This window comes from Homo sapiens, chromosome 7 (genome assembly GCF_000001405.40).
Source record: "Homo sapiens chromosome 7, GRCh38.p14 Primary Assembly".
Classification (NCBI taxonomy): domain Eukaryota; kingdom Metazoa; phylum Chordata; class Mammalia; order Primates; family Hominidae; genus Homo; species Homo sapiens.
In genome coordinates this window covers 55,926,445-55,942,440 of record NC_000007.14, presented here as the reverse complement: position 1 = coordinate 55,942,440, position 15,996 = coordinate 55,926,445, and the positions used below count along the sequence as shown (strand labels likewise).

Genomic DNA, 15,996 nt, shown 5'->3' with positions numbered 1-15,996 from the left:
AGTAGCTGGGGTTACAGGTGCACACCATCATGCCCAGCTAATTTTTGTATTTTTAGTAGAGACGCAGTTTTACCATATTGGCCAGGCTGGTCTTGAACTCCTAACCTCAAGTGATCCACCTGCCTTGCCCTCCCAAAGTGCTGGGATTACAGATGTGAGCCACCGTGCCCAGCCCAGATATATATTTCAATAAATAAAATAAATGATTAAGCCAATTAGACTACTTCGTCAGGTGTTTATATAAGCCACTGCAGCTCTCCTGATTCCCACCCTCAACATGGCACCAGGGCTCACCCGCAGGTACAGTTCCTCACTTCTCCATCTTCCACAGTGATACGGGGTGGCATGGGAATTCTTAGTCTCTGGTCATTATTTTACAAAATCCCAAAACTTCTGTTCTACAAATACAGCAGAAATAATTTTAACTGAAAAAAAATCTAGACTTGCCACAGGGAAATTTAAAGCTAAAACAAAATAGAAAAGCAGACTTCTCTGAATCAATATTTCAAAGTTCATCAATAGGACCCTCAAGTCTTCTTCAAGGCTCTTCTCAAAGTGATCCTAGGATTCATTTGATGAAAATAATGTCAAGATTGCAAAAAGAATCATCACAGGATATTGCCACAAACTATCACACTGTTTCTCAAACAACGGCACACAAGATTTTTGGGGGGACATCAACGAATATTTTTAATTTCAAGGTTATGTATCTATTTTGATGAAGAGTAGAATAAATTTAATTAGCATATAAAACTAGCATATAACTTATTTTATATGCTAAATAGTATTTCCTAGGAGAAGGCTAAAAATCTTGCATCCCTTTATAAAGAATATTAAGTAAATACTAGATATGGTAAAAACTGTAAAGAAAGCATACAAATAACTGACGTTCGTGAAATATTCCTCTTTTATGTTTATTTCAAGTTAATGTGACTGGCTGCACTACAGCATCGCCTTTATTTTTAAATTTTACTTTTTTTTTTTTTTGAGACAGTCTCACTCTGTTGCCCAGGCTGGAGTACAGTGGCGTGATCTTGGCTCACTGCAACCTCCACCTACCGGGTTCAAGCAATTCTTCTGCCTCAGCCTCCCAAGCTGCTGAGACTACAGGCGTGCACCACCATACCCAGCTAATTTTTGTATTTTTAGTAGAGATGGGGTTTTACCATGTTGGCCAGGCTGGTCTCAAACTCCTGGCCTCAGATGATCACCCCACCTCGGCCTCCCAAAGTGCTGGGATTATAGGCGTGAACCACCGCCCCCAGCCAGCATTGTCTTTAATTAATCAAAATTTCTGATTTAAAAGTTTTATACCATAACCTGCCAGGTGCAGTTGCTCACGCCTATAATCCCAGCACTTTGGGAGGCCGAGGCGGGCAGATCACAAGGTCAGGAGTTCGAGACCAGCCTAGTCAATATGGTGAAACCGTGTCTCTACTAAAAAATACAAAAAAAAAGTTAGCCAGGCGTGGTGGTACGCACCTGTAGTCCCAGCTACTCGGGAGGCTGAAGCAGAAGAATCGCTGGAACCCAGGAGGTGGAGGTTGCTGTGAGCCGAGATCGCGCCATTGCACTCCAGCCTGGGTGGCAGAGCGAGACTCTGCCTCAAAAAAAAAAAAAAAAAAAAGTTTTATACCATAAAACTTACAGGTGAGTAATTACAAGTTGTTGCCTATAGGCTTTCTTTCTTTTTTTTTTTTGAGACAGAGTCTTGCTCTGTTGCCCAGGCTGGAGTACAGTGGCATGATCTCAGCTCACAGCAACCTCCACCTCCCATGTTCAAGTCATTCTCATGCCTCAGTCTCCAGAGTAGCTGGGATTGCAGGTGTGCACCACCATGCCTGGATAAGGACTTCTGATTTTTTAAAAAGTTTTATATCAGATTTGGAACATGACTCCAAATATAATCTCATTTGTAAAATAAATTATTTTTTCTTTTTATAACCCCTCCTGGGAATGTAATATGCTGCTAGTTTAAGGTCTAAATTAATTTGGTTTCTACGCATTGAAAGTTTATGGCCAGGCGCAGTGGCCCACGCCTGTAATCCCAGCACTTTGGGAGGCCGAGGTGGGCGGATCACCTGAGGTTAGGAGTTCGAGACCAGCCTGGCCAACATGGTGAAACCCCGTCTCTACTAAAAATACAAAAAATTAGCTGGGCGTGGTGGTGCATACCTGTGGTCCCAGCTACTCAGGAGGCTGAGGCAGGAGAATCGCTTGAACCCAGGTGGCAGAGGTTGCAGTGAGCCAAGATTGTACCACTGCACTTCAGCCTGGGTGACAGAGTGAGACTCAGTCTCAAAAACAAAACAAAACAAAAATTTATGTATAAGCTTTCTCTCCACTATGAATAATTTGATATTGAATGGGATAAAAAGGTCTGACCAAAAAATCTCCTACATTTATATATTTATCTGATTTCCCCCACCATAAGTTATGTGCTGCTAAATGAAGGACTGTGGCGAACAGTTTGCTCACATTTATATTCACATAATTTCTCCCGAGTATGGATTTTCCTGTGTTGATTAAGGTGTGCACTCTGGCTAAAGGCTTTCCCGCATTCATTACATTTATAGGGTTTCTCTCCTGTATGAGTTCTTTCATGTTGATTCAGATGTGTCCTCTGACTGAAGGCTTTGCCACAGAAACCACATTCGTAAGGTTTCTCTCCGGTATGAAGTCTATGATGTTCAGTAAGGGATGTGATGCGGCTAAAAGCTTTACCACATTGATTACATTTATAGGGCTTTTCTCCAGTATGAATCCTCAGATGTTGAGTAAAGGATGAATGCTGACGGAAGGCTTTCCCACATCCATTGCATATAAAAGGCTTTTCTCCTGTGTGAATTCTCTGATGTTGAATGAGATGTATCCTCTGGCTGAATCTTTTTCCACATTCATCACACTTATAGGGCTTCTCTCCTGTAAGCAACATCTGAGGCTGGCTAAGAGATGAGGTGTGGCTGAAGGCCTTCCCACACTCACTGGGTTTCTCTGCAGTATGAATATGATCAGTAAGAAGAATATGTTGATTGAAGATTTTTCCACACTCACTATATTCATAGGGAGTCTCTCTTACATAATTTCCCTGATAGTAAATCAAGTCTGAATTATGTTTGATGCTGTTTCCCTGTGTGTCAGAATTCAGGGGTATTTTAATGGAAGGAATTCTCTGCTGCATAAGGTTTGAGTTCAGATTACAGTTTTCTGCAAATTTATTACACTCAAGGCTTCTCTCCTGTGTGATCTTTTTGTGGGTCAAAGTTACTTGTCCTAAATATCTCTTGTGGTTTTCTTGGTTAAACTCTGGATGGTAATCAAAATCCCAGAGTCCTCCTAGGATGGAGTACCAGAAGCTGTCTCCTGCGAGTCTCTCCATTATCATCTCATGGGTTTGATTTTCATCAGAAATATTCTGGCTTGTGGTTGACTTTTTGATTTCGGGTCTGTTTTCTCCATCTAAAAGAAATTCAGAACATACAAATACTTTCCAATATTCTCATGTTATCTATGATTTGAAAAAGAAATTGTTGCACAGCGAATTACCAAATAAAACTGACAGTAATGTGTACAAGGCATACACGGCATTGAAAGTTTTTCAATGTGGCCACGTCACAAAGGGAAAGATTATGAGAAGTCACAAGAAGCAAGGAGCAGGGGGAAATTTTTAAACATGTGCAGTAATCATAGAAAGAAGAGCTCATCCAGGAGTATCCATGCTTGAAAGCAGATGGACAGGAGAATAAGACATATCAGGGAAAAGTCTCTGATCAGTGGTGGGAGACAGGGGAATGATTAATTAGAGAAGGCTGGTCTAAGGCCAGGCCTTTATAAATCTCATACGCCAATGACTTGATTGTAATGCCAGCTACTTGTTCATTTAAAAAGTATTTCTTCCTATTTTTATCTTTTGTTTAAAATGATAAAACTAATACTTGCTGATAGAAATGTATTCAAATAATGTGAGAATGTGTAAAGAAAGAATCCCACCCATTAAAGGAAATCCTTGTTAATAGTTTAGAGCCTGTCTTGTCAGATTTTCCCTATGTACACACAGGTATATATGAAAAACATATTTTGGACAAGCATGACTTATGGATTATGATTTTTAAATTTCATTTTAGTTTCCCACAACTTCTTTAAACTTTACTTAGTGGAGGTATTCTTCCTCTGCTTCTAGATGAAGACTTGAACAGGTCCCATGGCTTTCCTCTTTTTTTTGTTTTTTTGAGATGGAGTCTCGCTCTATCACTCTATCGCCCAGGCTGGAGTGCAGTGGTGTGATCTTGGCTCACCGCAACCTCCACCTCCCGGGTTCAAGCAACTCTCCTGCTTCAGCCTCCCGAGGAGCTGGGATTACAGGTATGTACCATCACACCCAGCTAATTTTTGTATTTTTAGTAGAGACAGGGTTTCACCATGTTGGCCAGGCTGATCTCAAACTCCTGACCTCAGGTGATCTGATTGCCTCAGCCTCCCAAAGTGCTGAGATTATAGGCATGAGCCACCGTGCCCGGCCTCTTAATTCTTATTTTTTGAGAAAGTGTCTCACTCTGTCACCCAGGCTGGAGTGTAGTGGCATGATCATAGCTCCCTGTAGCCACCTCCTGGGCTCAAGCAATCCTCCCACCTCAGCTTCCCAAGTAGCTAGGACTACAGGTGTGTGCCACCATGCCTGACTAATATTTTGATTTTTTTTTTTTAGAGACGGGGTCTCACTACGTTTCCCAGGCTGGTCTGGAACTCTTGGCCTGAAGCAATCCTCCTGCCTTGGCTTCCCAAAGTTGCTGGGATTACAGGTGTGAGCCACTGCTGCCAGCCTCCCCTTAATTCTTAGGTAACAGATGTTCCTACTGTTACATTGTCACAAACACAGTATCTACTCAATAATTAAAATGCTCAGTCCTGGGTAATAGAACCCCAAAGTAATTCCTTTCCCTTCCCCTGGATGGGTTACAGAAAGGGTCATGTTCTATCTTTCTCCCTGCCTGAGCCGCTCCCCGACTCTACCCTCTCCCAATGAGTCTCTCTGCCTCTACTCTCTTGCTTCTTTCCCCGCTTAACTACTTCCCTGCTCGCCCCTGCCCTCACTCACTCACTGTAGTTTTTTTTAATTTTAATTTTAATTTTAATTTTATCTGGAGACAGAGTCTTGCTCTGTGGCCAGGCTGGAGTGCAGTGGCGTGCTCTTGGCTCCCTGCAACCTCTTGTCTTGTGGGTTCAAGCGATTCTTGTGCCTCAGACTCCTGAGCAGCTGGGACCACAGGCATGCACCACTACACCTGGTTAATCTTTTGTATTTTTAGTAGAGACAGGGTTTTGCCATGTTGGTCAGGCTGGTCTCGAATTCCCAAGCTCAGGCAATCCGCCCGCCTTGGCCTCCCCAAGTGCTGGGATTACAAGCATGAGCCACCGCACCCAGCCCACTCACTGCAGTTTAGTTTCTAACAAGAGTTAGGGATTAGGGACTGTGTGGAGGGAGGAGAGAAAGGCTCGTTTTTGTATGGCGGAGTGGCTTCACTCAGCTTAGCAGATGGTTAAAATGGCTTCATTTTGGAGAACTTTTACCACTTTTGGGAGGCTCTTGCTAGACACCTCCCCCTCACCCCTTGTCATTTCCATAATCTAGATAGATATATCTCTACTTTGGGCACGCATCCTACTTGACAAGATCCAAGACCATGCTGGCTGACCCACAGGAAACACCGATGATACCTTGCCCCAACAAAGCGGGGCAATGCAGACTCATCCCAACTCAGCAGCTTCTCCTGGCTGACCCACAAAGGCCATTTAAGTCATCTCTTCCTGGTCTTGGACTTTCTGAGTGGGTCAGCTTCAGCATTCTTAGACATGAGGTCCACATCAGTCTTCACCTTCCAACCACAGGGAACAGATATTACAGGTGCCAGAGTGGTCCCCTTGAAGTTGGGTAACCAGATAATTATTGTCTTAATTGGGACACTTGATGGTAAAAGGCAGTATCATCACTAATTCTGCCAGGAACTGTCATGGGAAACTGGGTGGGGAGAATTCTGACCATTCCACCTTGGCTCAACCCTTAATATGCATCCTTCTACCTCTTCCCTCAAAAGGGGGTTAGGACCTCACAACATGGTTTTCTGCTCTTTACCCAATCTCCTCACGGAAGTCCCTCTCAGATTTTTTTTTTTTTTTTTGGGACAGAGTCTCATTCTGTTGCCCAGGCTGGAGTGCAGTGGTGTAATCTCAGCTCACTGCAACCTCCGCCTCCTGGGTTCAAGTGATTCTCCCACCTCAGCCTCCCGAGTAGCTGGGACTACAGGTGCACACTATCATGCCTGGCTAATTTTTATATTTTTAGTAGAGACGGGGTTTCACCATGTTGGCCAAGTTGGTCTTGAACTCTTGACCTCAAATGATCCACCTGCCTCCGCCTCCAAAAGTGCTGGGATTACAAGTGTGAGCCATCATGCCTGGCCTCTCTCAGATCTTTCTCTTTTTTTTCTTGAGACAGAGTCTCACTCTGTTGCCCAGGCTGGAGTGCCGTGGCGTGATCTCGGCTCATTGCAAGCGCTGCCTCCCAGGTTCACGCCATTCTCCTGCCTCAGCCTCCTGAGTAGCTGGGACTATAGGTGCCCGCCACCACACTCGGCTAATTTTTTTTGTATTTTTAGTAGAGACGGGGTTTCACCGTGTTAGCCAGGATGGTCTCGATCTCCTGACCTCATGATCCGCCTGCCTCGGCCTCCCAAAGTGCTGGGATTACAGGCGTGAGCCACCGCGCCTGGCCGTTAGATCTTTCTTATAGCCTTGCTCTGGCTGGCCAAGGGATGAGGTTCATGAGGCCATTTCCTATGCTCATGGAGATGTGGGTGAGGGTTCCTACACCTACTTTGATATGCAGGTATCTTCTGTCAACTCTCAGGGAGGAAGAGTCCCTTCTAACACACACGTATATATGAGTAACTATGTGTATGTATTTATACATATATAGTTTTAATTTATTTTTAAACCAAAACAGGATAATGTATGTATTGCCCATGTAATTTCATTACTTAACAATATTCTTTCTAAATGAGTATATATATATATAGGTCTACTTCATTCTTTTTAAAGGGCATATCCTACTTTTAAAAAATCTTTTCTCCTGCTGTTAAATTTTAGGTTTCCAATTTTCTTTGCTATTTCATACAATAATGCAATGAACATCCTTATACAAACATCTTATGGACCTAAGCTAGTATTTCAATATGACAGACAATATGCAATGCCAGTCCAGGCACGGTGGCTCACACCTGTAATCCCAGCACTTTGGGAGGTCAAGGTGGGCGGATCGTGAGGTCAGGAGTTCAAGACCAGCCTGGCCAACACGGTGAAACCCCATCTCTACTAAAAAAATACAAAGATTAGCTGGGCGTGGTGGTGCATGTCTGTAATCCCAGCTACTCAGGAGGCTGAGGCAGGAGAATCACTTGAACCCAGGAGGCGGAGGTTGCAGTGAGCCAAGATCGTGCCACTGCACTCCAGTCTAGGCAACAGAGCAAGACTCCGTCTCAGGAAAAAAAAAAAAAAAAAAAGGCAATGCCAGATCATAGGGTTTGCACACTACACATTTTGATAAATTCTGTCAAATTGTTCTCTTAAAAGGCTCTACCATGGCTGGGCACAGTGGCTCACACTTGTAATCTTAGCATTTTGGGAGGCCAAGGCAGGCAGACTGCTTGAGCCCAGGAGTTCAAGATCAACCTGGACAACAAAGTGAAATCCTGTCTATAAAAAATACAAAAAACACAGCCAGGTGTGGTGGCATGTGCTTGCCATCCTAGCTATTAGGGAGGCTGAGGTGAGAGGGTCACCTCAGCCCAGGGAGGCTGGGGCTGCAGTCAGCCATGATTGTGCCACTGTACCTAAGCCTGGGAGACCAAACACACATAAGGCTCTACCAAATGCACCTAACAGTGTGAAATGTAACTCATTTCACCCACACCATTCCCCATACAAGATGTGATAACATTTTGATTTTGCCAATTTGATGGGTGAAAAATGGTACCTCATCCATTTTAATTTTTATTTATTTCATTATGTTTAGCTTGAGCATTTCCCCATATATTTATGGGCTGTTTTATTTCTTTTGTGAATATTTTGGTGGTACTGGGGATCTGTAGACCTGCTAAAATTGAACACGAAGTTTTGTGCGCAAGTACATATATATTTTTTTCTGGAGCGAGAACCATAACTTTCATTAGATTTTCAAAGGGGTCCAAGATTCAAAAAAAGTTTAAGAGCCTCTGTTTTAAGGAGATCCTAACTAGTCTCTTTGCCAACAATCTTTCCTCCCATTTTATTATTCAGCATAATAAAACTAAATTATTCTTCCTAAGTCACTGATTTCATCATGTTCACCCACACAAAATCTGGTAGCCCCAACCCTTTTAAATTATCCTTAACAAAAAATTAGGCTCGGTATGGTGGCTCTTGCCTGTAATCCCAGCACTTTGGGAGGCCAAGGTGGGCAAATGCTTGAGCCCAGGAGCTCAAGACCAGCCTGGGCAACATGGCAAAACCCTGTCTCTACAAAAAGATGCAAAAATTATCTGGGTGTGATGGTGCGCACCTATAGTCCCAGTTACTGGAGAGGATGAGGTGGGAGAACTGCTTGGGCCCGGGAGGCAGAGGTTGCCGTGAGCTGAGATTGTGCCACTGCACTTCAGCCTGGGTGACAAGAGCCAGACCCTGTCTCGCAAACAACAACGACAAAAACAAAACAAAACAAAAATTAGTTTATGCATGGCCAACAAGCTATTCCTACTCATTTAATACAGTACATTCAAATAAGTAAATTCAAGCATAAAATTATAGGAGGAAGCCGGGCACAGTAGCTCACACCTGTAATCCCAAGCACTTTGGGAGGCCGAGTTGGGTGGATCACCTGAGGTCAGGAGTTCGAGATCAGCCTGGCCAACATAGTGAAACCCCATCTCTACTAAAAATACAAAAAATTAGCCAGGCGTGGTGGCACATGCCTGTAATCCCAGCTACTCGGGAGGCTGAGGCAGGAGAATCACTCGAACTCAGGAGGTGGAGGTTGCAGAGTCGAGATTGTGCCATTGCACTCCAGCCTGGGCAACAAGAGTGAAACTCCGTCACAAACAAACAAACAAAAATTACAGGAGTAAAAGTAGGCCTTAAGACCTTATGTATGAAATTATTATTATTATTATTTTTGAGGCAGGGTCTCACTTTTTCACCCAGGCTGGAGTGCAGTGGTGTGATCTCGGCTCATTGCAACCTCTGCCTCCTGGGTTTAAATTATTCTCCTGCCTCAGCCTCCCAAGTAGCTGGGATCACAGGCGCCTGCCACCACGCCCAGCTAATTTTTTGTATTTTTAATAGAGATGGGGTTTCACCATGTTAGTCAGGCTGGTCTTGAACTCCTGACCTTGTGATTCGCCCTCCTCAACCTCCCAAAGTGCTGGGATTGTAGGTGTGAGCCACCGCACCCAGTCAGTACCAAAGTATTTTTAACCAATTCACATTTAGGTTGTAGCTTCTTTTTTTTTTTTTTTTTTTTGAGACGGAGTCTCGCTCTGTCGCCCAGGCCGGACTGCGGACTGCAGTGGCGCAATCTCGGCTCACTGCAAGCTCCGCTTCCCGGGTTCACGCCATTCTCCCACCTCAGCCTCCCGAGTAGCTGGGACTACAGGCGCCCGCCACTGCGCCCGGCTAATTTTTTGTATTTTTAGTAGAGACGGGGTTTCACCTTGTTAGCCAGGATGGTCTCGATCTCCTGACCTCATGATCCACCCGCCTCGGCCTCCCAAAGTGCTGGGATTACAGGCGTGAGCCACCGCGCCCAGCTGTAGCTTCTTATTAGAAATAGCACAGCAAGAGTAGTTAGTTGGCCAAACATATATTAGATTTTTTTTTTTTTTTTTTTGAGACAGGGTCTTGCTTTGTCACCTAGGCTGGAGTGCAGTGGTGTGATCATAGCTCACATCAGCTTTGACCTCCTGGGCTCAAGTGATCCTTTTGCCTCAGCCTCCAGAGTAGGTGGGACCACAGGCACGTGCCACGATACCCTGCCTTTTTTTTTTTGGTAGAGACGAAGTCTCCCTACATTGCCTAGGCTGGTCTCAAATTCCTGGGCTCAAGTGATCCTTCCGCCTTGGCTTCCCAAAGTGCTGGAATTACAGGCGTAAGCCACCACGCCTGGCCACAAATTTTTAAGAGAAAAAAAAAAGTCCAAGTCAAAAAGTTATGGAAAATAGATCAATAGATGTACAAAATATATACAAATGACTATGGTCTAAGATTAAATTACACATGGAAAAATTAAAAGTATATGTGATTACAGTTATACCTGATTGAGAAGATTAATTTTAAACCGATGTATTATTTCAACCAAACTATCAACTGGAACACTTTCTTTTCAGCCAAAAGGCTTCTGTTGCACGTGGACTTTGACTCCAGAGTGTTTGAAATGATTGGCTGGAGCTCTACAGACTGCCTCTCACGTCTCTTAGCACTGAATCTGCAGCCTGTGGACCTGGTTCCTGAACCCACAGGGAGGTATGGTCCTCTAGGCTCCTACTACACAGGAGTCTGGAGTTCAAGGCATTCATTGCCTAAGCTCTAGCTTAGTATGAGCATGCTGTGATGCCACTGGGCAACCTGAAGAACATCTTGCAGGGCCTCCGCACCAGGGCATGCCTTGCCAAGCAGATGTTTCCCCTGCTCAGGCCCATCCATGGCTTTTGAACTACATTGTTTAGGAAACAGGAAGGAAGGAAACAAGGAAGTAAGAAAGAAGGGAGAGAGGGAAAGAAGGAGGGAGAGGAGAGAGGGAAAGAAGGAGGGAGAGGAGAGAGGGAAAGAAGGAGGGAGAGAAGAAGAGAGGGAAAGGAGGGAGAGAATTAGGGAGAAAGGGAAGGGGGAAAACAATTTTTTTGAAAAAATATTAATCCTTTCTACATGTAAAGCATCATCATATTTTTGGTTCTCTTATTAATTTAAAAATGCGTCAATTTATAGTGGGTTATGACTTTAATTCAGTAGTTAATTCAAATTAGAAACAAACAGAATATGCTAAAAAAAGACAGAAAATGTCAGAGTTCATCAGACACAGTGATAACGATAAATATTGTTGGGTAACACTTCTGTTTCAATTTTTTTTTTTTGAGACAGTTTTGCTCTTGTTGCCCAGGCTGGAGAGCAATGACGTGATCTCGGCTCACCGCAACCTCCAACTCCCAGGTTCAAGAGATTCTCCTGCCTCAGCCTCCCGAGTAGCTGGGATTACAGGCGCCCGCCACCATGCCTGGCTAATTTTTGTATCTTTAGTAGAGACAGGGTTTCATCAGGTTGGTCAGGCTGGTTTCGAACTCCTGACCTCACGTGATCCACCCACCTCGTCTCCCAAGTGCTGGGATTACAAGCATGCACCACTGCGCTAGGCCTCAATTTCAATTTTATAGATTATATAGATCTTATGGATGGCAAGAAAAATGCATTTTTTAATGAAAGTGGTGGTTAACAATAATTTACAACTATTGCTTTGGCAAGGTTGACAAGTTTTTTTTCTGTAAAGGGCCAGATAGTAAATATTTTAAGTTTTGTGGGCCATATGGTCTCTGTCGCACTCAGCTCTGCTGTTGCAGGGTGAAAGAATCCACAGACAATGGTTTTTTGGTTGTTTTATTTTTGAGACAGTCTCTGTTGCCCAGGCTGGAGGCGAGTAGCACGATCTCGGCTTACTGCAACCTCCACCTCCTAGGCTCAAGTGATCCTCTTGGCTCAACACTCAGCCTCCCGAATAGCTGGGACTACAGGTGTGCACCACCACGCTTAGCTAATTTTTGTGTTTTGTGGCTATGGGTTTCTTCATGTTGCCCAAGATGGTCCTGAACTCCTGAGCTCAAGCAATCCTCCCGCCTCTTATGTAAAAGAATGAGTGTGGTTGTGTTCCCATAAAACTTTATTTACAAAAACATGTTACTCTAGACTACATTATTTTTCATCCAAAGAGCCTACAACACCAAACAAGGTATGTGGAAAGGAAGCCCCATGACTGGTCTAGGACATCTTTGTGCTGACTTCCAGTTCACCTGATCCCAGTAATGTATGAAAATGCTTTCCTCCTCATGGACCCAGCGGTGTATACTGCCAAACTTTTCAACTTTTGCTAATATGGTAGGCAAGAAAATATAATTTGTGCAGCTTTAATTTGTATTTCTCTTATTATGACTGAGATTGAACATTTTTTCATATGTTAAATGTATCTGGATTCCTTTAAGAACTGTTCATAACCTGGGAGGCAGAGGTTGCAGTGAGCGGAGATCGTGTCACTGCACTCCAGCCTGGGCAACAGAGCAAGACTCTATTTCAAAAAAAAAAGAACTGTTCATATTATTTTTATTGGGCTGTTGGCCTCTTATTAAGAGGAGCATTTTATAATATTCATGGATGATCAGCTCTTTTGACCTAAGTTGAAAATATTTTCCTCCATTGTTATCTTTTCACTTATTTTACATCAAGCAGAATTATTATTTTATACCATGCAGAATTTTTGGATTTGTGTGTATTGAATATATGAATCTCCTCTTTAATGGCTTCTGGATTTTAAATTATAGTCAGAAAAAACTCCCCCATTTCAAGGTTATAAAAGATGTCTCCCATGTTTTCTTCCAGGTCTCTCTCTCCAGTTTTTTTTTTTTGAGTCTTGCTCTGTCACCCAGGCTGGAGTGCAGTGGCGCAGTCTCAGTTCACTGCAACCTCCACCTTCCAGGCTCAGGCGGTTCTCATGCCTCAGCCTCCTGAGTAGCTGGGACTACAGGTGTGCGCCACTGCACCCAGCCTCTTCCAGATCTCTTATAGTTTCATGTTTTACGTGTAAAATCTGTTTCCTTTGGAGTTTATCTTGGCTCAAGGGGTAAGCTATAGATCCAATTCTGTCTCTCTCCAGATGGCTATCTACCATATATGAGGAGGTGCACATTTCAAAAGCACCAGTTGTCTCAACACTTTACTACAATTCCCACTTTTCACCTCCTAATTTGAAATGATGCCATTATTTAAAATAATGCCTTTATATTAAATGCCCACATGTATTTGGGTTTACTTCTGACTTGTCTATTCTGTTCAGTTGGTCTGACTTCATTAATAAAATTTTACTGTATATTTTAAATATCTAGTAGGAATAATCTCCCTCATCGATTTTCCTTTTCAGAATTTTCTTGATAATTTTTGTGCTTTGGATTTTCCATATGAACTTTAGATAAGCTTACCTAGCTTTCCCCTCAAACTCTTGTAGGCACGTTTTTTATTTTTGAGATGGACTCACATTGTAGCCCAGGCTGGTGTGCAGTGGTGCAATCATAGCTCACTGCAGCCTCGACATCCAGGGCTCAATTGATCCTCCTGCTTCAGCCTTTTGAGTGGCTGGGACTACAGGCGTGTGTTACCACACCTGGCTATTTTTTTTTTTTTTTTTTTTGGTAGAAATGGGCTCTCAACCTGTTGCCCAGGCTGGTCTCAAACTCCTGGACTCAAGTAATCCACCTGCCTCAGTCTCACACAGTGCTGGGATTACAGGTGTGAGCCCTGGCACCCGGCCTGCAGGCACTTTTTATGGAATTGTATTACATGTATAGTAGGGACATTGCCATCTTGGCATGTCTATTTATTCAGGTTTATTTTTGTGTCTGTCGGAAGTGTTTAAAGTTTCTCCTATGAAGGTATTGCATATCTCTTGTTGAAGTTTATTCCTAGGTGTTTTATTTTTTTCAGTTCAGTTGCTATTACATGGGTGCTTCTCTTCCATCTTGTAATCCAACTGGTAGTTGTTTGTGCCTTCACCTTTGTTCCACCTTCAACAGTCTACTTACATGGCAATACATTCATATTCTGGACCTTGCCTGCTCCACGTTAAGAAATCTCCAACTCATTGTAACACTCTCCTGCCTTACTCACATTCTGTCTCTTTCTGACCTCTTCTACACCTCCATTTCTTTGACTCTCCCTTGGTCTTTTAGTTTTAAGTCCTCGTCAGGCCTCATTCTACTTCCTGTCACTTCCTAGACTTGTCAAATCACTTGAATTAACTCTCATACAGTTTCACACAGTTTTCCTCCTTCAGTCCCTAAAATCTAACACCCTCAACCCCTGTCCTATAAACCCTTTCCAGTGTTAAATATAACAGGAGGAAGAGCATACTCATGCAAATTAGAAACCACAGCTGTATGGGGCAGAGTCTCACGGGGGCCCTCATCACTGCTCAGTGCTGCCTCTGCTCGTCTTTGGTCAGCTTCCACTGACTCTTGTAAGCTTCAGCAAATGTACCATGAGTCCTCTACCTGCCTTCCCAATTCCCTTACACTCAACAAAGGAAATTGCTTCCTAATTTGCCAAGAAAACAGAAGTCATGATGTGTGAACTCCCCCAAATCTTCCACTGACATATTTACTGACATATACAGTCACCCTAATGTCCTTCCCTCTAATCCCACTCCCATCTCTTCTAGAACCTTGCTCCATCTCTTGTGGCTTTTTTTTTTTTTTTTTTTTTTTTGAGACAGAGTCTTGCTCTGTCACCCAGGCTAGAGTGCAGTGGTGCAATCTTGGCTCACTGCAACCTCCGTCTCCGGGGTTCAAGCGATTCTCATGCCTCAGCTTCCCGAGTAGCTGGGATTACAGGTGCACGCCACCAAGCCCAGCTAATTTTTGTATTTGTAGTAGAGACGGGGTTTTACCATGTTGGCCAGGCTGGTCCTGAACTCCTGACCTCAAGTGATCCGTCCATCTCGGCCTCCCAAAGTGCTGGGATTGCAGGCGCGAGCACCCAGCTGTATCTATTTTTTTACTTGTCCTCTCTACTGGTTCCTTCCCTTCAGCATTATAAACAAGTAAAATCGTTCCTGCTTAGAACAATTCTTTTGCTTTTTTCAGACAAGGTCTCGCTCTATTGCCCAGGCTGGAGTGCAGTGGTGCCATCGTAACTCACTGCAGCCTCGACCACCTAGGCTCAAGTGATCCTCCCAGCTCAGCCTCCCAAGTAGCAGAGACTACAGGCTCATACCTCCACATCCGGCTTTTAATTTTTTTGTAGAGATGGGGGTCTCACTATGTTGCCCAGGCTGGTCTTGAACTCCCGGGCTCAAGGGATCCTTCCACGGTCTCCGAAAGTGCTAGGCGTGAGCCACTGAGCCTGGCCTAGAACAATCCTGTTTTGACACTACCTTTTATTCTGGCTGCTAATATCCTCTTTATTATTTCCCCTTCCCACTCCTCACTCTAGCTAGCTGCTGCTTCTTTTTTTGTTTGTTTGAGATGGAGTCTAACTCTGTCACCCAGGCTGGAGTGCAGTGGTGCAGTCTTGGCTCACTGCAACCTCTACCTCCCAGGTTCAAGTGATTCTCCAGCCTCAGCCTGCCACGTAGCTGTGATTACAAGCGCCCACAACCATGCCTGGCTAAGTTTTGTATTTTTAGTAGAGATGGAGTTTCACCATGTTGGTGAACCCCAGGCTGGTCTCAAACTCCTGACCTTGTGATCCATCTGCTTTGGCTTCCCAAAGTGCTGGGATTATAGGCATGAGCCATGAGCCACTGTGCCCGGCCCTCAGTCTAGCTGCTTATAAGAATATTACACACTTGCTAGCTCTAATTTTTTCATTTTAAACCTCCCCGTTGTTCATGCAACAATGTACAAACTGACTGTTCTTCCAATCATCCCCCTGTCACTTCTCTCAATAATATAATTGCCAATTTTCTTGCTGCTAAATCTACTGGGTATTTTCCAGGTCTCAGCTTAGCTTAAGAAAGATTTTAGATAAATAAGGACCAGCAAATGTCAATAACAATGAGGCATGCAGTACCCTAGTGGGCGTGCAGAATTAGACTGCATAAGCTCTATCATTCTCTTAGCCTCCTGACAAACAGAAATGTTTTACTACATCCTCTCAGGGGAACCCCTGATTCTGTCTCACAGGATATTGAAGAAATGCAAACAGTCACCTTAGGGA

The 15,996-nt window shown here is 43.8% G+C and overlaps 1 protein-coding gene across 2 annotated transcripts in view; it reads right to left on the bottom strand.

Moving 5' to 3' along the window:
- Positions 1–215: 215 nt before the first annotated feature.
- Positions 216–15,996, bottom strand: part of ZNF713 (zinc finger protein 713) — a 54,770-nt gene continuing 38,989 nt past the window's right edge. For both annotated transcript variants that reach the window (NM_182633.3, NM_001366796.2), the window contains exon 7: positions 216–3,459. In NM_182633.3, coding sequence (NP_872439.2) covers positions 2,435–3,459 — 1,025 coding nt within the window. In that variant the 3' untranslated portion in view covers positions 216–2,434. The remainder of the gene's footprint in view (positions 3,460–15,996) is intronic.